At 50.0% G+C, this 27,446-nt stretch overlaps 1 protein-coding gene across 1 annotated transcript, besides 6 other annotated features; it reads right to left on the bottom strand.

Annotated features, from left to right (window-relative positions):
- Positions 1 to 1,231: 1,231 nt before the first annotated feature.
- On the bottom strand, positions 1,232 to 27,358 carry ALKBH5 (alkB homolog 5, RNA demethylase). Its single transcript, NM_017758.4, has 4 exons — positions 26,173 to 27,358; positions 16,151 to 16,231; positions 4,216 to 4,371; positions 1,232 to 2,967 (listed from the first exon to the last, which is right to left on the bottom strand). The coding sequence occupies exons 1-4, from the start codon at positions 26,940 to 26,942 to the stop codon at positions 2,790 to 2,792; spliced, it is 1,185 nt and encodes a 394-aa protein (NP_060228.3). The 5' UTR covers positions 26,943 to 27,358; the 3' UTR covers positions 1,232 to 2,789.
- Positions 25,208 to 25,257: a silencer, noted in NCBI's record as "silent region_8269". NCBI's record gives its function as "represses an Ori minimal core promoter by ATAC-STARR-seq in GM12878 lymphoblastoid cells {active_cell/tissue: GM12878}" and the evidence as "EXISTENCE:reporter gene assay evidence [ECO:0000049][PMID:35858748]".
- Positions 26,481 to 26,632: a silencer, noted in NCBI's record as "fragment chr17:18087868-18088019 (GRCh37/hg19 assembly coordinates)". NCBI's record gives its function as "represses an EF-1alpha promoter that drives an FKBP-Casp9 reporter gene in an ReSE screen in HepG2 liver carcinoma cells {active_cell/tissue: HepG2}" and the evidence as "EXISTENCE:reporter gene assay evidence [ECO:0000049][PMID:32094911]".
- Positions 26,481 to 27,363: a biological region, named in NCBI's record as "H3K27ac-H3K4me1 hESC enhancer GRCh37_chr17:18087137-18087974".
- Positions 26,526 to 27,363: an enhancer, noted in NCBI's record as "H3K27ac-H3K4me1 hESC enhancer chr17:18087137-18087974 (GRCh37/hg19 assembly coordinates)". NCBI's record gives its function as "activates a minimal SCP1, AML or CMV promoter by ChIP-STARR-seq in naive H9 embryonic stem cells {active_cell/tissue: H9 hESC(naive)}" and the evidence as "EXISTENCE:reporter gene assay evidence [ECO:0000049][PMID:30033119]".
- Positions 26,791 to 26,880: a silencer, noted in NCBI's record as "silent region_8268". NCBI's record gives its function as "represses an Ori minimal core promoter by ATAC-STARR-seq in GM12878 lymphoblastoid cells {active_cell/tissue: GM12878}" and the evidence as "EXISTENCE:reporter gene assay evidence [ECO:0000049][PMID:35858748]".
- Positions 26,961 to 27,260: a silencer, noted in NCBI's record as "silent region_8267". NCBI's record gives its function as "represses an Ori minimal core promoter by ATAC-STARR-seq in GM12878 lymphoblastoid cells {active_cell/tissue: GM12878}" and the evidence as "EXISTENCE:reporter gene assay evidence [ECO:0000049][PMID:35858748]".

Below are 27,446 nucleotides of genomic sequence, written 5' to 3'. Positions count from 1 at the left end.
GAGTGGGGGATGCTTACTTCTGCCATTTATACTCTGGATGACATTCTGCAAGTCACTTTCTCTCAGATCCGGTGTTTCCTTCTCCAGGGGATCCAAGGTCCACTCTGCCTAGCCCAGTGTCTACCCCTCCAGGCCCAACTAGCCCCAGACCACACTTGAGACTCTGGCCCCTCTCTCTTCAGACCCTCGCACTAGTTTTTAGACCAAGCCTGGGCCAGTTACTTGCCCCACTCTGGAGTCTCTCTTCTCTGGTAAATGTGGAGGTAAGCAGCTTATCCAAGTTTCCACAGCAAGAATTTGGCCAAGCAGACTAGCTCTGAGCACTAGAACAGAGTAAGAGACTCTAGATAGAAGCCCTTTACCAGGCATAGGGAGCCAGGTCTGAAGTCTGGAGGGACTAAAGCCCTCTGGGCCCCAGCCTTACCCATTGAAAAACATCTGCTTCATGCCAGTACCTGCACTCCACACTATCATGAGCATCTTGAAAGGAGGGACCAGAGTTTTGCTCACTATTGGGGTCCCAGTGTGGCTTGGTATACAATAGGAACTCAAGAATTTTTTTTTTTGTTTTTTTGAGACAAGGTCTTGCTCTGTTGCCCAGGTTGGAGTGCAATGGCACAATCTCGGCTTACTGCAACCTGTGCCTCCCAGGCTCAAGCAATTCTTGTCTGTCTCAGTCTCACTAGTAGCTGAGACCACAGCTAAACGCACCTGGCTAAATTTTTGTATTTTTAGTAGAGATGGGGTTTTGCCAAGTTGCCCATGCTGGTCTTGAACTCCTGAGCTCAGGTGATCCACCGTGCCTGGCCAAGTATTTGTTTAATGAGCAAAATCACTCGCATATTTTCCACAAAAGCCAGGTTCTCCCTTGCTTTTGTGCCTGCCATCTCCCCCTTCACCAGCACCAGCCTCTCAGTGATCATATCTAAAAGAGGGACTTCCAGAACTCCAGAAGGTGTGGTCCCTGGGCACCTGGACATTGTGGTTTATGAAGTTCACCCTCCTTGGAGTGGGAGAAAGGACAGTGGGGTGAGGGCAAGTCCACCTTCAGCCATAAACCCAAGGCTAGGCACACAGGAGGCCCAGTGTCCAAGACCAACCAACTCCTCTGGGACGCTGGCGGCCAATGAGCTAGCTCTGCCTCCCCAACCCCTGTTTCAAGTTTAAGAAAGTAAAGGGATTAAGGAAGCACCAAAGGCAAGCCCTCTCTTACAACAACATCAGACAACTGTTTCAAAATATATTAGATTTGGTTTTTATTGTAGAGCACACATATCAGGGCGAAGTGCTGCACACACAACTACAAATCATTTTTGGGAAAAAAGCTGTAAAAAAAATAAAACTGCAACTGCTTTAATTATGCAGTCCCGACTTGAGAAATCCACGCTGGCAAAGGAGTTCTGGCCCCTGAGAGGGGCTTCTTGATGGTGGCTGCCCCAGATTTCTGCAGCCTATGAGGTCTCAGACCCGGACCTCTGTACACAAAGCCCCCAAAGTGGTGGTATCCTGGTTGCTGGGAGGGCCTCTGCTCTTGGCAAGCCCGGGTCCTGGCCTGGCTGACAAGAAGACATTCCTAATGAATCTAGATCCACAAAACCTTGCTGCCTTCCAGGATCTGAGTGGATAGAAGCTACCAAAGACTTTACCTTTTTTTCCTTATTATTTTTTGAAAGCCCCTTCACCAACTCCCATACCCTGAAGCGGAGGAGGCACCAGCCCAGTCTGCAGGCCTGAGCTCTGGCCTTGGATGCATGCTGCCGGCAGACAAGATGGGGCAGGCGCCTTCCTAGAAGGATGACATGAGGATGAGGCCCAAGCTGGCCAGTGGAGAAGGGAAGGGAAAGGAAAAAGCCAGGAGACTAAAGGGGGAAAAAAAACTCAAAAAAGAAAACAAAAACCCTACCACACACCACAACAATTTTCCATACCCCAAATGCTAGACTTGGAAGGACACCAGTCCCTCTAGCTAGAAACAATTTCTAAAACTGACCCAACGTGGCAAGTCTAACTGTTCCAAATAATCACACGCATATGCTCAAAAGGAGCAACCAGCAAAGAAGTGTGCTCTTGATAAGAGAGGTCAGGACCACTGCACTAGCCCCTCAGCAGCCCAAGGAACTGTGGACATGGCAGGCTAGTGGGCGTGGGTGGAGGACGCCTGGGGGGCTTAACAATAGCTTTGGGATGGCAGGGGCTGGCACTGTTTAAGCCCCTGCCCAGGCAACCTGAACAACTCTGCCGCAGGAGGAAGAAAGGGTGTTTGCATGAGCTTGCAGGGCGTGGATGGCAGGTGAGAAGTGGAGAACAGCAGAGCCTGTGAGGCTCCAGGAGACCTCAACCAAGTGCAGACATCAGTGAGGGAAAGGGGCGAGCAGAAGACTGAACTTTGTTTAGAACACTGCGAAGATTTACACTGAAAGCAAAATAATTTTCTTAACCAAAACATTTTGTTGCTTTTAAATAAACCCAGCCTGATACAGCCCCACTTAAAAGATGGCTGCTCTGCTCCACCACCTCTACTGGCCACTCCAGCATCAGCCTCTGTCCCCTATTGATGCCAACAGCCTTTCCATCCAGGAGGAATACCAAGAATATGAGAACCTAGGTCCTGGCCAATTCTATTCTTCAGCCCTAACAGGCAACAAAACCAAGGAAAAATATATAGAATCAAAAAAAACAAAAAACAAAAAACAAAAACCCCCCAATGAACAAAAACAAAACCCTCAAAACAAAAGGAGGGGCAACTACGTAAGGATGAGCCAGAGTTCCCAGGAGGGCGGCGGGTAGACTCAGTGCCGCCGCATCTTCACCTTTCGGGCAGGGCTGCCTGCTGCCTCAGAGCAGTCCTCTGAGGACTCGTATGACTTGCGCCAGTAGTTCTCAGAGCTGAAGCTACCCCTCCGCCGGTGTGTGGGCAGCAGCACCGAGCGCCGGTTCTCTTCCTTGTCCATCTCCAGGATCCGTGGCCTGCAAGGAAAGGGAGGTAGGACGTTATCTGAGAGGCTGGCAGGAGGCGCCTGGCTTTACCGCTGTACCTCGTCTCATCCTTGGGATGGGTCACTTCAGCTCAGTGGTCCTCAACGAAGGGTAGTCCTGGCAGAGGCCCTGGTATCGGAGGTTCTTGCCCACTAAGTGCCAGTGACCATCCCAGTCTTTGGGACATTTCCCAATTACCCTGTGGGGTCTGCCTGGCTTGGAGTCTGGTGCCCTGGGACACTGCCAGGGCTGCTGGACAGAGGTCTTCCCTACCACAGCCTCAAGACTCTGCATGGTTCTGCCATCTACCTTTACTTCCCAGCTCTACCCACTTTCTCTCTCTTGGGCCTCCCAACACCCCCTTCTCCACTTACTAACCCCATTACCCCCTGAAACCACAAAGCTCTTTTGTATCTCAGGGTTTAGCTCATACAGTATTTCCTGCCTAGAATGCTCTTCCATGTCTTCCTTATCCTTCTGGAATCAACTTAAACATTACCTCCTTGGAAACCTTCCCCAACACTTAAAAAATATTTTTTTTTTTTTTGAGACGGATTCTTGCTCTGTCGCACAGGCTGGAGTGCAGCGGTGCCATCTCGGGTCACTGCCAGCTCCGCCTCCCAGGTTCACGCCATTCTCCTGCCTCAGCCTCCCGAGGAGCTGGGACTACAGGTACCTGCCACCACGCCTGGCTAATTTTTTGTATTTTTTAGTAGAGACGGGGTTTCACCGTCTTAGCCAGGATGGTCTCGATCACCTGACCTCGTGATCTGCCTGCCTTGGCCTCCCAAAGTGCTGGGATTACAGGCGTGAGCCACTGTGCCGGCCAAAACATTTTTTTTCCTTTAAAAAAAATTATCTCCTCAAATACCTTTTATCCAATCCTTTTTGAAATAAGTCCCTGGTTCACTATTATCCAAGTCCCAAGATTCCCTCCTGACATCTAAGTATAATTCCACAAGGGTGTCTGGGTGAGACTGAACAAGGAAAGTCATGGGAAAGCCATGATATTGCCATCTGTTACAGTCTCTGCCTGACCCCTTCTCTCTGGGTGTACAGGCAGTTGGCCAGGGTTAGATGGGAATGTCACCAATGCCACCAACCCAGAGGAACCAGACATAAGGTTTTGAAAGGGTGAGCAAGCCAAGGCTCCTAAACAGCCTACCCCAGGCTTCTCCACCCTTCTCACCCTGCAGCCAGGCCTTTGCCAGCCTTTGCTGAGGGTCCTAAACTGAGTACCTGTGGGCAGCATCAGGGTCTGCCTTGCGGTGGGACCGCTTGGGTTTCAGAGCAGGGTCCCTGTTGTTTCCTGACAGGCGATCTGAAGCATAGCTGGGTGGTAACACGGAGCTGCTCAGGGACTTTGTTTCCAACCGGGGTGCATCTAATCTTGTCCTGCAAAGGAAACATGCATGGGGTCACCAAAGGGCCTCCGGTGAAGGTGTGGGCACCATCAGACCAATTCTCTGGCCAGGCCAAGTGGGAGCCAGCTAGACCTGGAAGCCAGCAGTCTCTGCTCTGTACCTCACTCTCCTTGAGGTTCAACTAGAGATTGGTCTAGCTGACTTTCAAAGACCCTCCTCAAGTCCACCTTTAGGAGTAAGGAATGGGAACACTTCTGTCTGGAAACTCCCAATGACAGGCTGTGCTACCCTAGGGGCAAGATCCCAGGGCTCGCTCTTAGCTGAACCAAGCAGCCTCACCTCACTCCACTTGGACCCACAGGTTCTCTGGGGCCATCTACTTCATTTGCCAGAGGACCAACGGCCCCACTGGTGGGTCCCAACACAGGAAGGATCCCTGGTCCAGGCCTGTAGAGGGGCTGGAGAGAAAGAGAGCCAGAGCTACCCTATCTTCTCACTGTGCAGACAGGGATGCTGAGACTGAGTGGCAGAGCCAGGGTAGGGAACCCAGGCCCACTCCACAACCATGAGCAGTCATCTGGCAGTTTCTGCTCATTTCAGGATGCTGACAAGGTAAAGGCCAGAGGGCTTTTGAAGGCACAGTCCCCACCAAGCAGCAGGTGTAGCCATAGGTTTCAAGGAATACACTGCCTAGTAAAGGGAAGGCACACAAATACAGATGAGGAAGAGGGGGATGGAGAAGCTGGGTAGCGGTAACTCAGGGCAGTGATCCAAGTCCTTTATGAAGCCAGAACAGAAGGGAGCTGGCATGGAAAACCTCAAAGCCCTCAGGCTCCTTGTGTGGTACAGAGAAGGCTGGCAAGTCAGGCAGGTGGGAGCAAAGGGCAGAAGGACCCATGTAATAGACTGGGTGGGAAGCGATAGGACATAGCTAGCAGAGACCCTGAAGGCACCTTTTCCAGGGTCTGCTAGACACAAAGTAGTAACTTAGTTCCGAAGGAGTAGGGGCTGCAGTCAGAGCAGGACTCTAAGGATACTAGAGGATGCTGGGGAGAAGTAAGCAGGAGGGAAATCCAAGAACTGCCTTGGGCTAGGCTGCTTGGCATCCTTGGTAACAACTGCATCTGGTCCTCAGTTTCCCCCATTCCCCATGGCTGCCTCTCCACATTCCACTGGCTGGCCTACTGTACATAGATGGGAAGGATCAGAAAGGCAGTAAGTCATGCATCCTGCAAGTCACGGGGGAAAGTTTAAAGCCAAAGTGAGACTTCAAGCCTGACAGGCAAGAGTTACTCTGAACGTGGGTAGGAAATCTCTCTCCTAAAGGCAGCAGGGGCATCTCCTTCCTTCCAGCTGGGAACCAATGTTCTGATGCCTCAGGCCCAAACTGGTGGGTAGGCAGGTAGGACAGGCATCCCCATCCCTTTGGGTTGGCCTTGCAGAGGGGGATGCCAGTAGGGCCCAGCTGCAGTGAGTGACTCTTCAGTCTCAGACTCCACTCTGGACTCCTCCAGACTCATGGATGCAGAACCTAACATCAACAGGAGGATGATCTAGTTTTGGCACTGCCATTCAGAGTCCAAGCTAGTCACCATCCCTCCTCGGGCCTCAGTTTCCCCATCTGAGCAAAAGAAAGAAATGTGACTAGCTCTAAGGCTTCTTTGCGCTGAGGGTCTAAGGAATCGAAGGCAAGTTGCCTCCTTCAAGGCTGGGATTCTCTGGGTAGAGGTGGTACTGGGCAACTACCAGAGATGAGTATGTGAAATAGAATAGAACCATTCTTTTTTTTTTAAAGAGAGATCGTGTTTTGCTCTGTCGCCCAGTCTGGAGGGCAGTGGTATGATCATAACTCACTGCAGCCTTGAACTCCTAGGCTTAAGGGATCCTCCTGCCCAAGCCTCCCAAGAAGCTAGGACTGGGCCACCATGCCCGGCTAATGGTTTTTTTTTGGCGAGACAGGGTACCACCATTTTGCCTAGGCTGGTCTCTAACTCTTCTAAGTGATCCTCCCACCTCAGCCTCCCAAAGTGTTGAGATTACAGGTATGAGCCATCAAGCCCGGCTCCAGATGAGCTTTTTATTTTTATTATTATTTTTTGAGACAGGGGCTCCTTCTGTCGCCCAGGCTGGAGTGCAGTGGCGGGATCTTGGCTCATTGCAACTTCAAGCGATCCTCCCACCTCAACCTCCCAAGCAGCTGAGATTATAGGTACCCGCTGCCACACTCGGCTAATTTTTATATTTTCAGTAGAGACAGCATTTCACCATGTTAGCCAGACTGGTCTCAAACACTGGGGCTCAAGCGATCTGCCCATCTCAGCCTCCCAAACTGCTAGGATTATGGGCCTGAGCCACCACACCTGGCCCAATTACCTTTTCTATTTTTTTTTTTTTTTAAGAGAGTTTTACTCTTGTTGTCCAGGGTGGAGTGCACTGGCACGATCTTGGCTCACTGCAACCTCCGCCTCCCGCGTTCAAGCAACTCTTCTGCCTCAGCCTCCCGAATTGCTAGGATTACAGGCATGCACCCCAACGCCTGGCTACTTTTGTATTTTTAGTAGAGATGGGGTTTCTCCATGTTGGTCAGGCTGGTCTTGAACTCCCGACCTCAGGTGATCTGCCCGTCCTGGCTTCCCAAAGTGCTGAAATTAAAGGCGTGAGCCACCACGCCTGGCCCAATGACCTTTTCTTTACCAGGCTTCGTGTCATCAAGTTGAGAGGTCCAGGTGGCAGAAATCAGACTAAATAAAATGTTAGCCTTTATACTTGACTTAAAGGACTCTAAGGGCCTCATTGAAGAAAGTCCCTCCTCTGGTACCCATAAAGCTAAGACTCTATAGGTGCCAGGGAGCCCATGTTCAGGGAAGGAAGGCCCCTGTGTGCCCCAAAAGCCCCAGTGAAGCCCTAGTGGGGGCACTCTGGAGTTGTTTCTTCGGGTGAATGATGGATGGTAGGAGAAAAGCAGAGCCACCAAGATGAGAGCTCTTGACACATCCCCTGGGACTGTTATAAGTACATCTCATAACAGCTGGAGAAGCTCCTGCCCTCCCTACACTTCCAAAAATTCACCAAGCTGCAGGATGCCAGGCTAGAGCTTGACTCCAAGCCCAGTGCCCACCAGTAGCTTAACTTCAGAACATGCCCCTGTTAAAAGGCAACCAACTCTCATGGCGTAGGCCAGGTCCTCAGGGTTTAGCAGAGAGTCACAAATCTGGATTCAGGAGGCTCAGTTCTAGCAGTAAGGTCTGGACCCAGGCCTCCTCAGGTGGCAACAGGAATGAAGACCTGCCTTACAGATGAGTCAGTATTCAAAGGTCAGAGCAAAGCACCTCGGGCATGTGACCTCGGGCATGTGAGGTTGACCGTGATACCCAGAGCGGCCACCTACCGTGTCAGGACAAAGCAGGGACAAGGGAGGTCACAACAAAGGATGGCTGTAGCACTAAAGTGTGAACCGAAGGGAAGGGAGGGAGTTGATCCTATCCTAGGTCCTCCAGAGAAGCTGCTGGGGTGAATTATTCTCCCTGTAGGGACTGGAGAGCAAAGCTAAATCCCAGAGCAAATCACTAGCTTGAGTCACAAAGCTACTACCTACTACTCTGTGATGGCCTCTAAAGCACAGGTGGGGCCAGGCACAGTGGCTCACACCTGTAATCCCAGCACTTTGGGAGGCCAAGGTAGAAGGATTACTTAAAAGCCAGGAGTTTCAGACCAACCTGGGCAACAAAGTAAGACCTTGTCCCTATTTAAACTCTTTTTTTTTTTTTTTTTTTTAAAAGACAATCTTGCTCTGTCTCCAGGCTGGAGTGCAGTGGCACGATCTTGGTTCACTGCACCTCCACCTCCCAGGTTCAGGCAATTCTCCTGCCTCAGCCTCATGAGTAGCTGGGACTACAGGTGCACGCCACCATGCCCAGCTAATTTTTGTATTTTTAGTAGGGACAGGGTTTCACCATGTTGGCCAGGATGGTCTTGATCTCTTGACCTCATGATCCGCCTGCCTCAGCCTCCCGAAGTGCTGGAATTACAGGCGTGAGCCATCGTGCCCGGCCCTAATTTTTTTTTTTTAATTAAAAAATAAAGTGCAGGTGGGCCCTCCTCAGTGCAAGAGAACACTGTGCATGCAGGTGGCAGCACCACCATTTCTGGGAAGATGGTAAACCAGACCGCACTCAGGCCACGATGACTCTGGAGCGAGGGCAGTCCCCAGCCAGCTACCAACTACTCTCCAACGTCTGGCACCACCTTTACCAGGCATCCTTGTGCTAAAAGCTTGGCTTTCCAACAAAGCGAGGCAGAGACCAGTATTGTGGGCCTGTCCAAGCACCCTCTTGCCTATTTAGTAACCTGGGTCCCTAGAGCTAAGGTCTAAGCTCCAGCACCTTTGAGAATCAGACTCCCACAAAGCTCAGGTCTGTACCTTGCTGGCTCTCCTGCAGTAGTACCCACTCCCCTCACGGGACTCTCCCCACCCATCTTCCACCAGCCCCCTGCCAACATCAGACTTCTGTTTTTTTTTGTTTTTTGTTTTTTGTTTTGAGTCGGAGTCTCGCTCTGTCGCCCAGGTTGGGGTGCTGTGGTGCGATCTCGGCTCACTGCAACCTCCGCCTCCTGGGTTCATGCCATTCTCCTGCCTCAGCCTCCAAGTAGCTGCAACGACAGGCGCCTGCCACCATGCCCGGCTGATTTTTTTTGTATTTTTAGTAGAGACGGGGTTTCACCGTGTTAGCCAGGATGGTCTCGATCTCCTGACCTCACGATCCGCCCGCCTCAGCCTCCCAAAGTGCTGGAATTACAGGCGTGAACCACCGCACCCGGCCAATTAATTACTTTCTTTGAAACAAGGTCTATCACCCAGCCTGGAGTGCACGGGTGGGATTACAGCTCACTGCAGCCTTGACCTCCTGGGCTCAAGCAATCCTCCTGCCTCAGGCTCGCGAGTAGCTCGGACTATAGGTATATGCCACCACACCTGGTTTTTTAAATCAATCAATCAATCTATCTATCATCTATCTATCTATCTATCTATCTATCTATCTATCTATCTATCTTATCTATCCTATCTATCTATCTATCTATCTATCTATCTATCTATCTATCTAAGATGGAGTCTCACCCTGTAGCCCAAGCTGGAGTGCAGTGGTGCAATCTTGGCTCACTGCAACCTCTGCCTCCCATGCTCAAGCGATTCTCCCAAGTAGCTGGGACTACAGATGCATGCTACCACGCCCGGCTAATTTTTTGTATTTTAGTAGAGATGGGGTTTCACCATGTTGCCCAGGGTGGTCTCAAACTCCCGCGCTCAGGCAATCCGCCCACCTCGGCTTCCCAAAGTGCTGGGATTACAAGTGCGAGCCACCGCACCCAGCCAGGAAGAGTTTAGAAGACCACCTAGCATTCACAAGTTTAACCACAACTGCCCAATTTACAGGTGCAGATAAGACTGCATTTGGAGAGGAGTGGCAGAGCCAGGGCAGAAGCCCAAGTTTGTCACCTTCCTGGTGATCCCATTGTACCCATATTCCTTGGGCAGGCCACAGACACATCAGAACAGTCAGGCTGCCAAAAGGGCAGGGTGTATGCACGTGGACACAGACTTACTGAACCAGGGAACAAATGTAAGCTAAATCTAACCACAGGAGACACAAATCATGGAGAAAGGAGCAACACCAAGCCCTGGTCAGAGAAACTAAGAGCTAGCCACCCCTCACCCCACTGCTGAGGAACGAGGTCCAGAATGAGACCTCCACTTCCTTCCACTGCTCATCCATCCACTCAGCCTCACATTCAGATTGCTCTGCTCTCATGGAAGGTCTCCTGACTCCTCGAACTCTGTGGATCTAATGACCAAGTAAGCTATTGAGCTTCGCTTCCTACAATCTCTCACATGCAAATCCCTCACCCCACTGCTCACATGCCTCCACGGCTCCCCAGCGCGCTTAACATTTCTCTGCACAGCGTGAAGCTTTTGCTGTCTTAGGCCGGTGTATCAAGTCCTCCACTCCTTATCTATTCTGTGTTCCAGAACAGAGTTCCTGGACTCCAAGCCTCTGTAAAGAGCATCTCTTCTGACTGAACTATCTTTGCCCCTGAGCCTCATTCTATGCTGGCTAAGGTCCAAGCATCCTTGACTACCTTCAGGTGGCACTTATCTGGAAAGCCTTCTTTGACCAGTTCCTGTTGAGATGCTAAATGTCTGCCTTTTCCCAAAGGACAAAAGAGAATAGGAACCCATACAAACCCCATTCCGGGTACTAGCACAGAGCCTAGCACACACCAGCTTAGGTTACCACTTGGCAAAGGGATCTCCAGCTGCATTTCCCAGCTTCAGACCACTCTGAGCTGAGTTCCACTTGACCAAAAGCAAATAAATGGGCTATATATACTGCTTTGTGCCACTTTATCTGGTTAACTGGAGAGTACCAATCTCAAGAATACAAGTCTCACAGTGCAATCCTGAGGGCCTCCTAAAAACCAAGGGATTGGGTGCCCTAGTCACCAACTCAAGGCCCCGAAGACCCATAAGCCATCTCTTGAGAATCAAATGTTGACCTAAGGCCTCCTTCCCTCTTTCATTCCTCATCTACAGAAGTCCCCTATATTTCCCTGCCTCCTAGCCTTTGAGCTTACCATTTCTGCCTGGCCAGCAATTTCTAGCTCAGGGGCCAGATCTACCAAGCTCACCTTTACCCTTCCTCCCGCAAAGCTGGATGTAATTTAAAAAAAAAAAAAATTTTTTTTTTTTTTTTGAGATGGAGTCTCGCTCTGTCTCCCAGGCTGGAGTGCAATGGTACAATCTCGGCTCACTGCAACCTCCGCCTCCCAGGTTCAAGCAGTTGTCCTGCCTCAGCCTCCCCAGTAGCTGGGATCACAGACACCTGCCACTATGCCCAGCTAATTCTTGTATTTTTAGAATTTTCATCACGTTAGTCAGGCTAGTCTTGAACTCCTGACCTCAGGTGATCCAACTGCCTCGCCCTCCTGAAGTGCTGGATTACAGGTGTGAGCCACCACGACCGGCCTGGGTTTTTGGGGTTTTTTTTGCAGGGCTCCCAGAGAATACCCTGTGCTTTTACACCAGTGTTCACTCTGCTTTGTGTTGGAATGGCAGGCAAAGTGCAAACTTATTACATGTGAAGCACCAAGGGGGCACTAAATTTCCTGCGGTGCCCACCTCAAGTGCCTTGTACATAGTAGATACTTGATGTTTCCCTCAAGTCAGAAATCCCTGCTCAAAGGCCATTCCAACTAGCAATGACCTGAGGCAGCTCACTTCCTACCTGAGCCCCTTTCCAAACAGAGTTCATACCTTCTAGTTTCAAGGTTAATATGTGGATGCTTGGCACAGGGCAGCTAGCAAGGCCTACCAGGAGCAGAAGCACAGAGTGCACTAGTGCAGGAGCACTAGGGAATCATGGGAAAACTGGAAGACTCCCCTCACAGATGAATTATTATACCCCAGAAGTTTGTCAGCCTCTTGGTTATCTAACTAGTAATTTAGAACTTTAACCACACCTCCAGTAAGGTTAGGTCCAGCCTCCCCTTCCAGGGTTACCAACGATTACAGAGAAAAGACTTGCATGCTGCGGCAGCTTGCCCTCGGTCGGCTGGGAGACAGTAACATTCAGGGAAGTTTGGGGGTGCTGAGGCACCTCAAAGAGCCGACTAGCCTGTAGCTGCTGCCTCACCCCACTCTCTGTAGAGTGCCCCCTACATACTCATAACATTCTCCCCAATCAGCACAACTCTCTACTTGCACAGCAGAGGCAAGAAAGCCCTTCTATATCTGAGCTCCAGTTTCCTAACTCAAAGCATCCATCCCAACGACACACTGGGGGAAAGGGCAGGACTTGGGGTACTCCACTGTGCAAACCACCAACGAACCACAAGACCCAGGTTCCAGGTGTCACTCAGCCATTTACTGGCTAAGTTGTGACCCCAAACATTATAACACCAAGGGACAGTCTGAGGATTCCACTCTGGGGAGACTTTTTTAAAAGGTTACTTCCAGCCTCCCCGTAAGAAACAAGGGCACATGTGCATGAAGACTTGGCACCACCCATGTTCACAGAAGCTGCGTTCTGTCCAACCAGAAAGCACTTGGCAGCTGCCCACCCATTTCCTTCCGTGAGGCCCTTAGAAAGACCTTTCCAGCTCTGACTGACCTGAGCTGGTGACAGAGCTCCCAGGGTCTCCACCAGCAGCCTGTGCAATCTTTATCTGAACTTATGAGAAGGCAGGACCGGCTCTAACTCCTCTACCATAATCAGGGCCAGGCTCAATGCCCAGATTCTACCCACTGTAACACAACCTCACCAGAAGACATCAAACCAGCCAGGTATCTTCCAAGGCCACATCATACTTATCTCCGGGCAATGCCTGGGCCAAGATGCTCCCCTTTTTAAACTTGTCACAACCCGTCCTTTCCCAAGACAAACCCATGTAGCTACTCTGGAGCTGCTCCTCACCGGCCTGAATTGTTCTCCACACTAGTTGATGCCTCCTCTGGGCTGCACCTCATGCTAGGCCCCAGATGAACAGGGATCTCCTTACTCCTACAGAATGCAGATTTGAAAATTCACAATGGCAAGCGTATGAGCTGTGACAGTCCAAACAGGGGTGTGTGTATGTGTCTGCATGTGTGCTGAAAGGGCTTTAGGTGATGCTAAAAAGCTAAAGGGCTTTTTATATGATGCTTTCTGCATGTCAAAATGGTCAATCTGAACGATGAAGAATGACTAGGTTATCTGAGGAGTTGGTTATCATGTAGGTTTATTTGGGGAGTTGGGATATGAATCAGAGGATGAACATGTTAGATGAGAAGGTATGCCCAATGGAGGCCACATTGCCACAAGAGCCCAGGCACAAATCCATAAACCATAACAGGAGCTGCAGATACTTTAGAGTTCCCCACAGCTGTGCACTTCCCCAGCTCAGCTACCTGGGGAAGCTGGGACATCCTCCCACTCTTCTCCAGTCCCCTTACACCACAGCTCTGTGCTTCTGCACTCCAGCCCAGTCTGTGAATGGTTCCTGGGCCCACTGAAGTCAGAAGGTAGAAGAGCTTCAGTCACCCAGTAACAGCCATTCCCAAGGTCAGGCCACTGGCAGGGACCTAGCTGGCTGAAAAGCTTCCCAGGGAGCTGATTAACGGTGCAGACTCCTAGCTGTGCTGAGGAGCATCTGACTCAGTTGGACTGGGCGGCCAGGTATGGGAGTCACCATTCAATAAAAGAGTAGCAGCTGGAAGACTGACACTCCAGCTATGGCCACTACCACCTGCACATCCAACTAAGATTTCCCCAAAATAAGCTATTATGGGAAGATGAGAGGAACTCTTGGGAAGTTACTGCTCTGGTTCTATGTAACATTAGAAGTTCCTCTCCAGGTTCCTGGCCTGGGCAGGCCACCCATCCCTGGCTGCAGTTGGAGGTACCAGGTACAGCCTGAGAAGAAATGACTGGAGGAGAGGCTGGAAGAGTGCTACACTCTGGACTCCATTGTTTCCGAGTTCTTGCCTATGCTGGTTATCACAGAAAAATAAAGTACAAGGCAGATAAAAACTCTTCCCTTCCTCTGACAAATTCTGGGAACAGTCTTAGGCTAGAAAAGAGAGGCTGCCAACCCCACCAAGTTGACCCAAGTTTCTGGAGCTCCCACGTGTTCACTGCTCTGCCTGTACCATAGGACTGTCCCACAGATATGGATCATACCCATCTACTATAGTTAAAACAGACTAAAAGTTTTGACTTGGCAAAGTGGCAAAGCCATACCAAAGAGACTTCACCACTACAATATTCTGGAGTTATGGGCCCAAAGGACCAGGATGCCAAAGTTATTGTTTACTGACTAAAGTTGATGCACCAGAAAAAATTCCCAATGACCAAAGCTGGAAGAATTTGAGCATAAAATAAATTCCTAGGAGTCCATACTTACATAAAAAATATACTTATATAAATAAATGATTGAATAAATGAAGGAGAGTAGACCAATCCCCCCTGCAGAAGAATTCTAAGTAATTCACCTGCATGCTCCCCCTCAAGGAGATGGTGCTAACTCCCACACTCTTTAACTGTGGGCATGCATGGTGACTTCCTTCCTAAGGGTACAGTATGGACAAGGAAAAACAGTAATTTTACAGTGGAAAACCTGACAGTGCATTGGCCAGATGATCAATATCAATAGTGTTAAGTTACATTGATAGTATATATTCTTGGTTATGTAGTAAAAATGGCATACACTTTACCATAAAAACATCAGACAAATTCTAATTGAGAGATTTTCTATACAATACCTAACCAGTCAATATCATCAAGAATAAGGCAGGCTGGGCATGGTGGCTCACACCTGTAATCCCAGCACTTTGGGAGGCCAAGGCAGGTGAACCACTTGAGGTTGGAAGTTAGAGACCAGCTTGGCCAACATGGGGGAAACCCCATCTGTACGAAAAAATAAAGTTAGCTGGGTGTTGTGGCACACGCCTATAGTCCCAGCTACTCAGGAGGCTGAGACACGAAATCACTTGAACCTGGGACGCAGAGGTTGCAGTGAGCCGAGATGGTGCCACTGCATTCCCGCCTATTCCAGCCTAGGCGACAGAGTGAGACCCTGTCTCAAAAAAAAAAAAAAAAGAATAAGGCAAAGTCTGAGAAACTGTTACAGCCAAGAGGAGTCTAAGAGGAGTCTGAGTTGATATGTCAACTAAATGTAACGTAGGATGATCTTGGGACAGAAAAAGGACATTAGGAAAAACCTAAGGAAATCTAAATAAAGTATGGACTTTAGTCATACCAATAAAAAATTAACAAATAGGAGAAATGGGATGCAGAGTACATGAGAACTCTGTACTATCACAATTGTCTGTAAATCTAAAACTATTCTAAAAAATAAAGTTTAATAAAAGGAAGGAAGGAAGAAGACGACAGACAGCAAGTTTTATGGGTCAAGCCTAAGTTTACGTGCTTGTTTTGCTCTGCTCACTGACTTCTATGACTCTGGGCAATCACCTATCTTCTCTGGGACTCTATTCAAAAGGTAGGCGTGAACCAGGTATGGTGGCACTTGCCTCTATTCCCAGCTACTGGGGAGGCTGAAGCAGGAAGAGAGCTTGAGTCCAGGACTTTGAGGATGCAGTGAGCTATGATGGCACCACTGCATTCCAGCCTGAGCAAGATGGGTGGACAGTGGGGCAAGGCTTGTCTTGATCCAATGTCTGTGAGGCTATGGCTTCTTCCACTCACCCCGTGAAAGAAATAAATGCTGGTGAAGCCAGGTTTGTTGATGTTAAGTAGCACATCCCTGATTCCCTCCCCAGAGAAGAGCCACAAGCCATGATTCTGCCGAATACTACATCCTAACCTCCCACCCTTGTCTCCTCTCTTCACTCCCTGTTCCTTCCAGCAGTGAAAACCCAGGCATTTTTAAAGCAGGCTGCTAAAGGCACAGTCTAAAAATAATCACCAAGAGTACGTGTAACAAATAAGAACGAAGGAGGTGAGGAATAGAGGCTAAGGGGTGGGGTGAGGTTTGGAAGAATGTTGCCCAAATCTTGTCTCAAGATTATACCCACAAATATTGGGCGTATATGCTTTTGCTCAGTCCTAAACTCCCTAAATAGAGTACTTAATTTTCTGATAAAACAACAAAACAACTTTATCCTCACAGGATTCAAATAAAAAGAGAACTTAACAGTTCTGCTCTCCACTCTGCCATGCCACTGATACATAGGAGCTGAGTTCTAAGTGGACCCAGAGCTACATCTCCAGACAGGCCTGCAGGTGAGGCAGAAGGTCAGACATCAAGGCACTTACTTCCTGAGGATGATGACTGCTCGGCGCTCCTTGATGTCCTGAGGCCGTATGCAGTGAGTGATTTCATCAGCAGCATATCCACTGAAAAGAAACACAGAACATGTGACCATGAAGAGTAGACAGACAACCAAAGTTCCTGGGGGATATAACAGGACAGGAACATGGCCTAGGTCTTACGGCTGCTCTCTACCCATTACTTGAGAGTTTCAAGGATCTACATGGAAGGGAATATCATATTAAGTTCCAGGATGCTTTTGCCAAGAGACTGTAATACTCAAGGAAAAACCTGGTATGACACAAAGGAGACCCCTTGGCCACTTAAGGCAGAGGCTGGAAGCAAGACTCTCCCTGAACAGGCCAGGAACCCTTTTTTAAAAGGGTACTCCAGAGAGTACACTGTAGCTCCTCCTCATTCTCCCTCCATTTAGCAGGTAGAGAAAGCCAAGGCAGCCACTGATAGCACTGAGTCACCAGGGAGAGCTAGGACTGCCTCATTCCAAAATAGAATATCTACATGAAGTCTCCATTTGGGGGGATCCAAAATTTTGAAGACAGTTGTGTTTGAATATTTTAAGAATTTCCGGCTGGGCGTGATGGCTCATGCCTGTAATCCTAGCACTTTGGGAGGCCGAGGTGGGCGGATCACCTGAAATCAGGAGTTCGAGACCAGCCTGGCCAACATGGCGAAACCCCATCTCTACTAAAAATACAAAAATTAGCCAGGCATGGTGGTGGGCGCCTGTAATCCCAGCTACTTGGGAGGCTGAGGCAGGAGAATCGCTTGAACCTAGGAGGCAGAAGTTGCAGTGAGCCAAGATCACGCCCACTGCACCTGGGCAACAGAGCGAGACTCTGTCCCCACCACTGACCCCCACCCCCTGCCCCCCGCCCAAAAAAAAAGGATTTCCATCATACTCAGATATCTGTTTATTTTCAACAAGTTACATGACTTTTAAAACCGCTCAGAGACCAACTAATGTGGGTAGATGACTGTCCTCTTCTCAGCTAGCGTCATTCCAATTTGAAACTCTGGAAGCAAGCTCTGAGCTTCCTATACCCCTCACATGCTATCACTGGAAGCATGGCAGCCACAAGATACTCCCACTCCAAGTTACTCTACTGAGCTGCAGCAGTTCTACACACCCAGAAACTCAGCCACAAGCCTAGTAGGACAAGTATGGCTTAGTTTCCCTACCTGGCCCTGTACCACAAACCCTTCTCTCATGGCTGCTGATCAGCTCCCTTCTCAAAGGCTAGTTGTACAGACACAAACTTAACTATTAAAAACACTGCAGGCCTGGGAAGGACCCCTCAAGATGGCCAGGCTGGCCAAACCTCAGCTCTAATAACTGGATGCAAGAGCCAACAAGAGATAAAAAGCCAGACTGCTTCAGGCTCAGCCTTAAGGAAGCACCTCTGATTTGGAAATCTGATTTGAGCTCATGCTGGGGATAGAACAAACCTTTATTTTATTTAATTTTTTTTTTTTTTGAGACAGTCTCACTCTGTCACCCAGGTTGGAGTGCAGTGGCACAATCTCGGCTCACTGCAACCTCTGCCTACCGGGTTCAAGCGATTCTCCTGCCTCAGCCTCCCAAGTAGCTGGGACTACAGGCGCACCCCACCACGCCTGTCTAATTTTTGTTATTTTCAGTAGAGATGGGGTTTCACTATGTTGGTCAGGATGGTCTTGAACTCCTGACCTCGTGATCCGCCAGCCTCGGCCTCCCAAAGTGCTGGGATTACAGGTGTGAGCCACCGCGCCCGGCCCAAACCTTTATTTTATAGATCCACCTTCTCCCTCAAGCTGCTCCTAGACAAGAATTTTTCAAAATTTTCTCCATGAACACCAGTCCCATAAGAGACAGTAGACAGGCTAGGCACGGTGGCTCACGCCTGTAATCCCACCCAGCACTTTGGGAGGCCAAGGTGGGCATGTTGCCTGAGGTTAGGAGTTCGTAACCAGTCTGGCCGACATGGTGAAACCCCGTCTCTACAAAAATACAAAAATAAGCCAGGCATGATGGCAGGTGCCTGTAATTCCAGCTATCGCAGAGGCTGAGGCAGGAGAATCGCTGAACCTGGGAGGTGGAGGTTGCCGTGAGCCGAGATAGTGCCACTGCACTCCAGCCTGGGTGACAGAGTGAGACTCCGTCTCAAAAAAAAAAAAAAAAAAAAAAAGAAAAAGACAGTGGACGAATGTCTACAGTGAAATCAATTTGTAAAATACTGATTAGAGTTTCAAAAAGCATTAATATATTTAAAGCACATGAGAATTACTACAGCAAAAGAACCCACTGACTTTGAGCACTTACCAAAGAACCTTCTCTCATAATACCTATTAATACCCATCAGCCCACAGTGAGAAGTACCACACAGGAGTTAGTGAGTTGAAGAGACCTGGGTTCAAATGTGAGCTTTGTCTCCTACTAGCTTTGTGACCTTTGTTAAATCACATGCTGAACCTAAAAACCTGTACAGTTTCTTCATCTGTAATAAGGAGAACAGTAGGTTCTTGGGTATTCATTTTGTTATGCTTTATAATTTAGCTATTCTTTTGCTGCTACTAATATTACAAGATTTTAAAAATGGGGACAGTTTTAAAGATTACAAGATTAAAGTTTTTAAGATTACAAGATTTTAAAAACGGGGCCTCCTCCCTTCCAGGCAGAAAAACAGCATTATATGACTACTTGGTTGACACTCCTGGAAAGGGGTGGTGAGAGGCCTACCTGCAGGGGTATTGCGAGAATTAAGTCAGATAATGCAGGGTGCCTGACACCCTACAATCTTTACTAAGCACTCTGACAAAAGTCAGAGGGCCCTGGACTATCCTGGGGCAAGCCAGAGCCCTGGATTCAGCATCTGCCAAAGAGACATGGTCTGGGCTCCCCCTGCAGGGATCTGCCAGTAGTGGGGGCCGCCTGGGCCCCATTTCCAGAGCTAGGAACTCTAGTTCTCATCCCATGCTTTTATCATTCCACACTGGGGGAATGGGGGTCTAGACTGCAAGACTGTCCCATATAGACACACAATACTTTCCCAAAGAGCTGTCAAAGGTCTCAAAGGCACTTTTTTTTTTTTTTAAAGACAGAGTCTCACTCTGTTGCCCAGGCTGGAGTGCAGTGGCATGATCTTGGCTCACTGTAACCTCCACGTCCCAGGTTCAAGCAATTCTCCTGCCTCAGACCCCCAAGTAACTGGGACTACAGGCTAATTTTTGTATGTTTAGTGAAGACTGTTTCCCCATGTTGGCCAGGCTGGTCTCGATCTCCTGATCACACGTGATCCACCCACCTCGGCCTCCCAAAGTGCTGGGATTACAAGTGTGAGCCACCATGCTCGGCCCCAGAGGCACGTTTCTAAGTCCTGAATCTGCAGTGCTGGCTACAGGCAACCTTCCCTGCCATTGACAAGTGTTATCAATCTGTTTGACTTGGCTATATGCATAACCAAGGGCCCTGACTTCCCATCTCCAACAAGGAACCACTTTTCTTAATGCAGTTCTGGAGCAAATCCAGATGTTTGTCAAAGCTTGACTGCCCGCATGCTCCCTGACCCCATCCCCCAAAGGGCTCTAGAACAAACAATAAGCCATGTCAGGTTCCTGCCACGGAGCCCAGGCCTTGGAAGAACTAGTATGGAGGTAGGGCTGCACAGGCCCACAAAAATGACTTTGGCACTGACCCAACCTGGAAGGCTTATTAGTACTGGTCTTCTAGAACTTCCTAGCAGCTATGACACAGCCCACTGACCCTTTCCTCAGAATATCCGGCTGCTCTGGCAACATGAGCTCAAAGTCCTGATTAAGGGAAGCTCTCCTGGCCAATCTCACAAAATGTCGAGCAGAGACCACAGGGTATTATTTACTATTAAGGAACCTACTTGCTACAAAATAAATTGTCTGAAAGTCTCAGTCGGCCAGCTTGCAACTTAATATGCCCTTGGGTCCAGCCCTACTGCTGGCATGAAAAGTTCCAGGACCTCCTGCTTTTTTGTTTTCACAGGGAAAGGAGAAGAGGAAATAACCTTATGCCATCTGGCTTGCCTGCTCCCTCTCTGGGCTGAGCCCCCAGCCCCAGCCCCAGAGGCACTGACCAGTATATGTTGCAAATGTCACCCACTAGTCCTATACCTCAGAGTGACTCTCGAAGGAGCTGACATGTCTATCTCCTCTTTTGGGGGCCTTTCCCTGACTGCCCAGGCTGGGTTCCCCCTACATTGCTCAACCACACCCTCTCATGCCTCTTTGCTATTCCATCTGGCCTTGTGGAAATTGTGTCTTCCCTTCAAGACAAAGCTCTTCAAAGGCCTTACTCATCCCTGCACAGTGGACACTAAATGAAATGTGTGTTGAGCTGAACTATTCTACCACTTAGAACCTGTTTCTGCCTCTGCAAAACAAAGATCACAGCAAGCCCCTCCTCAGAAGATTAGGTGCAAATTAAATGAGGTGTCTGAAATTTTTTTTTTTTTTTTTTTTTTCGGAAACAGAGTCCCACTCTGTTGCCTAGGCTGGAATGCAGTGGCGCAATCTTGGCTCACTGCAACCTCTAGCTCCTGGGTTCAAGCAATTCTCTGCCTCAGCCTCCCGAGTAGCTGGGATTACAGGTGCCTGCCACCACGCCCGGCTAATTTTTGTATTTTTAGTAGAGACGGGCTTTCACCATCTTGGCCATTCTTGTCTTGAATTCCTGACCTCAGGTGATCCACCCGCCCTGGCCTCCCAAAGTGCTGGGATTACAGGCATGAGCCACCGCACCTGGCCCTGAAAAATTCTTTAAAGAAACTATGCAGGACTGTACATCTCTCCTCTAGGGGACGGTCTTGGAAACTGAGTTGTTATGACACATTTCCAAGATGGCCACCATTTTCCATCTACTCCATGCCCTGCCTAGGCCAGGATGAACCAGAGATGGAGGGACTGTCCAAGATCCCAGCCTGGTGACTGTCTCTCTCCAGCTATGGCTACCTGCCTTACTGACAGACCCACAGGACCAAGAAGGTCAGGCTTTTGGGGGCAGCAGACCAGCCACCTGGACCCAGGGGCAGGATTGTGAGCTCAGGCTCAATTATTTACCAGACCCAAGCCTCCAAGACGACCCATGGCCTAACTTTATAAGAAGTCCTGGGGCTTTCTGAATCCAGAGGGAAGGTCAACCTGCCAAGTCCCAATTCTGTACACACCAAGATAGACAGTACTAAACACAGAAGGTAGCCCATCTCCTGAGACACTTTTAGCTAAATTTCAAGCATTCAATAGATGACAAAGATTCAACTTTCTATAACAACTCTATAGCATCATTAGACTGGTTTTGCAGATGAGGAAAACTGAGGCCTCAAAAAGCTTAATTTCCCCGAAGTCAACGAGTTAAAATGGTGGTGCTGTAACTCCAACCAAGTCTGCTGTCAAACTTTCTGGATTTTGTTGTGGAGGCGGTAGGAAGAAAAGCCCATCTGTGTTTCCTGGTAGCAAGCCTGTCCAGGGGGCCTTGCTGGCCTCACCAAAGGGCACACGTACACCCACTAGCCCCATGAAAGAGATTTGCAGAGATGAACCTATATCCCCCAGAGAGCTAGCACTGTATCAGTGAAGGCTATCCACCAACTGGCCAGCCAGCTCTGAATTTTCTTTTTCTTTTTTTTGAGACGGAGTCTTGCTCTGTCGCCCAGGCTGCCAGGCTGGAGTTCAGTGGCATGATCTCGGTTCACTGCAAGCTCCGCCTCCCGGGTTCGTGCCATTCTGCCGCCTCAGCATCCCAAGTAGCTGGGACTACAGGCGCCCGCCACCACACCCAGCTAATTTTGTTTTTTGTATTTTTAGTAGAGACAGGGTTTCACCATGCTAGCCAGGATGGTCTCGATGTCCTGACCTCGTGATCCACCCACCTCGGCCTCCCAAAGTGCTGGGATTACAGGCGTGAGCCACCGCGCCCGGCCTTGAAATTTTTTTTTTTATTATTTTTTTTGAGACGGAGTCTCACTCTACAGCACAGGCTGGAGCGCAAGGGCTCGATCTCGGCTCATTGCAACCTCCGCCTCCCGGGTTCAAGTGATTCTCCTGCCTCAGCCTCCTGAGTAGCTGGGATTAGAGGTGCACACTACCATGCCCGGCTAGTTTTTGTATTTTTAGTAGAGATGGGGTTTTACCATGTTGGCCAGGTTGGTCTCAAACTCCTGACCTCATGATCCGTCCACCTTGGCCACCCAAAGTTCTGGCATTACAGGCATGAGCCACTAAGCCTGGCCAGCTCTGAAATTTTTATGGCCTATTTATTCTCTGCTTGCTCTGAGCTTCATGATTAACACCATGGTTCACTGTTAGCTTCCTTTCTTTTACTGCCCTCTGCCTTGTCAGGCTCTGGCAGCAGCAAGGGCAGCCAACCCCCCTGGCCCAGAGCTCCTCCTGACGGTGCACAGCCCTGACTTCATCCTGTGGTTCCTCCCCCTCCAGTGGAATCAGAAGAGTCCACACAAGAGATGTGGCCCAGGACCTATCTGCCCTACTTTCCCAACTATTTTAAGCCAGAAAGCTAAATTTTGCTTTCAACCAGCTGAACAAGATCAGACTATCCCAGAACTGACAGGGGTGCCCACTCCACCCAATACCAACCGTTAACTGGAAGAGTCACAGGCTGAGCTCACCAGTGCATGCCCCGTGCCTGGGTGATACAGTCATTTCCAGACGGCTGGCCTAGGCCTGGGTCTCTGGGCATGTGGCCACCACACCACAGACCACGTAGCAGTGATTAAAGATAGCAGCAAGTAAGCAATTAGCCTTGAAGTAATTATTCTAATTAGTCCAATCAGAGTCTGTTTTAATCTGCCCCATGCAGCCAACAGGGAATAGGAGAATGAATGACAGATAAAGTGATATGAAGATAAAAAATATTTCCCTAAAGTACAGCCTTAAGAGGGGATCCACCCAGGCCTAACATGGGAAGGTTACAAAAAACAACTGACGACTAGGTTTGGAAAGGAGTTTGAAGCACTTCCAGAAGATTCTGTGAGGCCTTGTTCTAAATGCCCAGGTTTAGACACTGCTGAGTCAATGTTTGTGACGCACCAACATCCATGCTGATCACTATTAAATATAAAATTGTATTCTTGCCATGCGGTCTTAGAGGGGTACAGATACCATTGCCACCAACACCAACTGAAGTCTAAGATGCCTACTACTAGAATCCCTCCCCATCTGCACCGCACCACTGTTTTCACCAGCCCCTCCCTTCCAATCTGCAGCTTTACTGCTCATCACCTCTGGGCTAGGATCTGTACCAGGAAAAGAGAAAGCACCACTTCTTACCAGTTTATATGCAGGATTTGACGACGGGCACTACTAATAGGCAGGTGTTCACCCACCTGCATACCAAGGTAAGCTAAGTATGCAGGTGCAAGAAGATTTAATTAGTGGAAGGGTCCAGACCCTAGAGCAGTGACTCTCAACTAAGGATTCTGCACTTCCCCTGCCTCGGCATTTGGCAGTGTCTGGACACTTTCTGGTTGTCATAAAAAACACTATTGGCACCTAGCAGATAGAAGCCAGGAATGCTGCTGAACAGTCTACAATGCACGAACAGCCTCAACAATGAAGCATTATCAAGCCCTGAATAACAATAGCACTGTTGAGAAGCCCTGATCTAGAGTTCACCAGAGCACCCTCAACCACAGTCTCTACTAATGAACTCCATCTGCCTCCCATCAACATCCACCCCCTCTTACCTATGGCTACTCCTGCTACTGCAGCCAAAGACACTGCTGTTGTGTATTTCTCCACCTTTCTCTGCTTGGCTCATTCCTAGTCACTTTTCACATTCCAGTTCATTTCCTCCCCTAAACTTCCAACACTCCAAAGTGGAAAAGATGTCCCCCTTCAGTGTGCTTCTGCAGTTACCTTCCTGGGCTATAACTTATCCTCCTGTCTGAGGCCTCCATGGGGCTTGAACTACACGAAGGGAAACTGTCATGTTTCAGGCTCCACCAAATCCCTAGTTCCTTCCCCAGTGAGAGAGCAGGGGATCACTGAGTGGTTGTATATGAAAGCAAGCACCCATTTAAGTACCTACCCTGTGCCAGGCCCTATCTTAGACAACAAATCACCACATTTAATTCTAATAGGCTTTGGAAGTTGGCATCATCCCCACTTACAGATGGGAAAGCCAGCTCAGAGAACGCCTACAAGATCCCAAAGCAAATGAGAGAAAAGCTGGATTCAAAGCCTGGGGCAGCACTTTTCAGGACATGGCTGAGCCTCCCACACTAACACCACAGCCAAGTCTGAATCCAGAAAGGGTTGACAGGGACTGGGAAAGCTTTAGGACTTTACTATTCTGAGGAAAAGATGAAGAGAATTTTCCTGATGATGCAATCCTGTTGCTGATCACTAACAGACCTGCATACTAAGAACTCGAAACTTCTGTTCTTAAAATACAGGGTGGGCATGTGTTAAGGAGAGTAGTAGTCCCAAAACCAAAAAAAAATGCCTTGTGATCCCCTCATTAAGCACCAGACCACTACTAGACCTCCTGACAACCACCCTGAGGGCCAATGACTACGCAGAAAATTAATATCCCGCTAAGAGACCAAATGGTCCTTGTGTGAGGTAATTTTTGCACTGAGAACCCGTCAATGGGGTCAGACCCCAACCTGCCTTACACAGCAAGCACCCGGAGAGGGTGTGTCCTGGAAATCCCATCTTAAAGCATTTTGCCAAGACATCCATCTAGGAGCGCCATGAAGATCTGAGAAGCTCAGAAGCCCATTATAAGAAGGCATCTGACAGCTAGGCTGTCCTCTAAGTTTCAGATGCCTAAAGAGCTAAAGTATCGCTTCTGCTACTACTGACTTCCCACCTTCCCACCAGGACGTCTTGGACATTACAAGGCTCTGCTGCCATCCCCAACATGGAAGCAGCCTCAGCTGTTAGACTCAAATGAAACAGATGACCTAATCTCATATCAAGAAGGCTCCAGGGACCCTGCTTCTCCTCATGACTTTGGCCCTACTGACTCACTTCAGAACCTGGGCTGCTCACGACAAAAGCCCAGTGTGTCCTCAACCTTGTATTTGGTGGTGGTCAACCAAGCTGCTCTGAGAACAGCTGCGGTCTAAACCTAAGATGTTTTGGGTATTACTGAATTACATTACTAGGTTTACCTTTTTCAGGACTGGAAGGAGGCCGCTTCCAAATAAATTTTCACTTCACATAAACAGCAAAGGTGTTCCCAATGGCAATCTCCTCTGGGGGCCAGGGCACTGAGCTAATTCTCAGCAGGATCTGGGAACCGAATATAGGCCAAAAGCCTAAGTTCTGCTGCTCACGCAACTGTAAGGCCAAACAGTCAAGAGACCAGCTGTATTCTGTTGTATTCAGTCCTGACTACAAGTAACACGTTCTTACAAAGAACTGATGGGCTCTTCTGCAGCCAGGAGGGAAGAATTTTAAGAGTGTGCTGCTCTGTATGCCTGGCCCAACCACTAATCTGTTCAACTCCAGGGAAGTCACTCCCCCTCCTGGGAATGGAGAATGTGCTTCAATTAAATAATCTCTGGGGCCTTTGCCTGTGACTACTTTCTCTGTTAAGGAATCCAAAAATGGCAGAACAAGAAAGACTTTTAGATAAATTAAAAAAAAAAAAAATTTTAAAGCATAGATTTGTAAATGGAAGGCCAGAATGGAAAACCGGAAAATCACAAAGGGACTTATGCTAAGAAATGGATGGTGGGAAAAAAAAAAATCAAAGGGAACAGCCTTCTGAAAAGATGGCTTTCGATGAATTCTCAGCCAAGTCAGTGATCCCGTCAAACCTGCCTTCGGGGACAGGATTTCCACATCGGTTCCCTATTTTCTTGCTATAGGTATCTTAAACACAAAACCCTTCTCTCGCTCCCTACAATCTACAAACAGAAGAACTGGTCAGAACTGTAAAAAACGCAGACTCCTACGGGCTGCTGCTTTCTGGGCCAGGGTGGGTAGCTAAGGCAGCAGGCGCAGGGCCGCCCCCTCCACCCGGGTGGGTTACCTGAGCACAGTCACGCTTCCCCTGCGCACCGGCAGGGAAAGCACTGGTTCCGACACCCGAATAGGCTTGAACTGGAACTTGCAGCCGAAGCACAGCGCAGAGTCGCTAAAGAAGGACACGGACACGATGGGGCGCTCGAAGATGTGGATGGGGTCCACGTGAGACACGATGCAGCCGCCGGGCTGGTAGTCGTTGATGACGGCGCTGTTGACGAAGCCCTCGGGGATGACGCGGTGCTCCACCAGCTTTTGGATCACCAGCTGGTGCACCCACTCGGGGATCTCGTCCACGTCGCCCGGCGGGTAGAGGCGCTCCTGGCCGGGCCCGCGCTTCTGCAGCTGGGCGCCGTAAGTGTAGCCTTCGCCGAAGAAGTACTTGTTGCGCAGTGGGGCCCGGTCCACCGTGTGCTCGTTGTACAGGCCCTTCTCAGCGCGGGACACCACCTCGTCAATGCGGGCCTCGATCTTGGCGCACTCGTCCTGGCTGAAGAGGCGCATCTGGCGGATGCCGCTCTTCACCTTGCGCGCCTCCTCCTCCTTCTGCAGCTGCTGCTCCTCATAGTCGCTGCGCTCGGGGTCCGAGTCCTCCTGATACTTGCGCTTGGCCCCGGACACAGGGTAAGGTTCGGCGGCAGCGGCGGCTGCGGCTGCGGCGGCTACGGCGGCTGCGGCAGCGGCGGCGGCCTCCCGGCTGCCCGCCTTATAGTTGTCCCGGGACGTCATGGACTTGAGCTTCTCACGCAGGTCCGTGTAGCCGCTGGCGGCCGCCATGGCCCCCACGACGCTGCTCTAGGGTCCTCCGGGGCGGGCGGGGCAGCCGGGCATGGCTCTAAGGGGACGCGCCCCGGGGCCCCCGGAGGGAGGGGGGTCCTTAGCGCCGAACCCCCATGCGTGAGTGGGGGACCCGGCGGGGGGCGTCGAGGGTCCGGGCGTGGGGTAGGGCCTCAGGAGCGGCGGGTCATGCAACGGTGGCGACAACGGGGCTTCTTCCTCCTCCACCTTCTCCACGTCCCGCGGGGCAGGGGCGCCGGCAGCGCCTCATGCCGCGGAGGGCTGCTGCGGAGACGCGGCCCGACTCCCGACCAGACCCTCGGACGCCCGGCCCGGCCCGCACTTTAAAGCTCTCCGCACGACGTCACGGGCAGCCAGCCCGACGTCCGCCAGCGCCGCTCCTTAGCGGGCTCCTCACCGCGCACGCGCAGTGCTGCCGGCCACCGCGGCTCCGCGCGCTACGGGCATGCGCGTGCGTGCAGGCCGGGTCGGCAGAGGCGCCGG

This window comes from Homo sapiens, chromosome 17, assembly GCF_000001405.40.
Source record: "Homo sapiens chromosome 17, GRCh38.p14 Primary Assembly".
NCBI classification, from domain to species: domain Eukaryota; kingdom Metazoa; phylum Chordata; class Mammalia; order Primates; family Hominidae; genus Homo; species Homo sapiens.
Note: the sequence above shows the minus strand (reverse complement) of the source record. Positions and strands in the feature narration are given on the sequence as shown.

Coding starts and splice junctions, on each gene's coding strand:
- ALKBH5 (NM_017758.4), bottom strand. CDS start 26,942: ATGGCGGCCGCCAGCGGCTACACGGACCTGCGTGAGAAGCTCAAGTCC. Junction 16,232..26,172: donor GGAAGCGTGACTGTGCTCAG/GTAACCCACCCG, acceptor GTTTCTTTTCAG/TGGATATGCTGCTGATGAAA. Junction 4,372..16,150: donor GCAGTCATCATCCTCAGGAA/GTAAGTGCCTTG, acceptor TTTCCTTTGCAG/GACAAGATTAGATGCACCCC.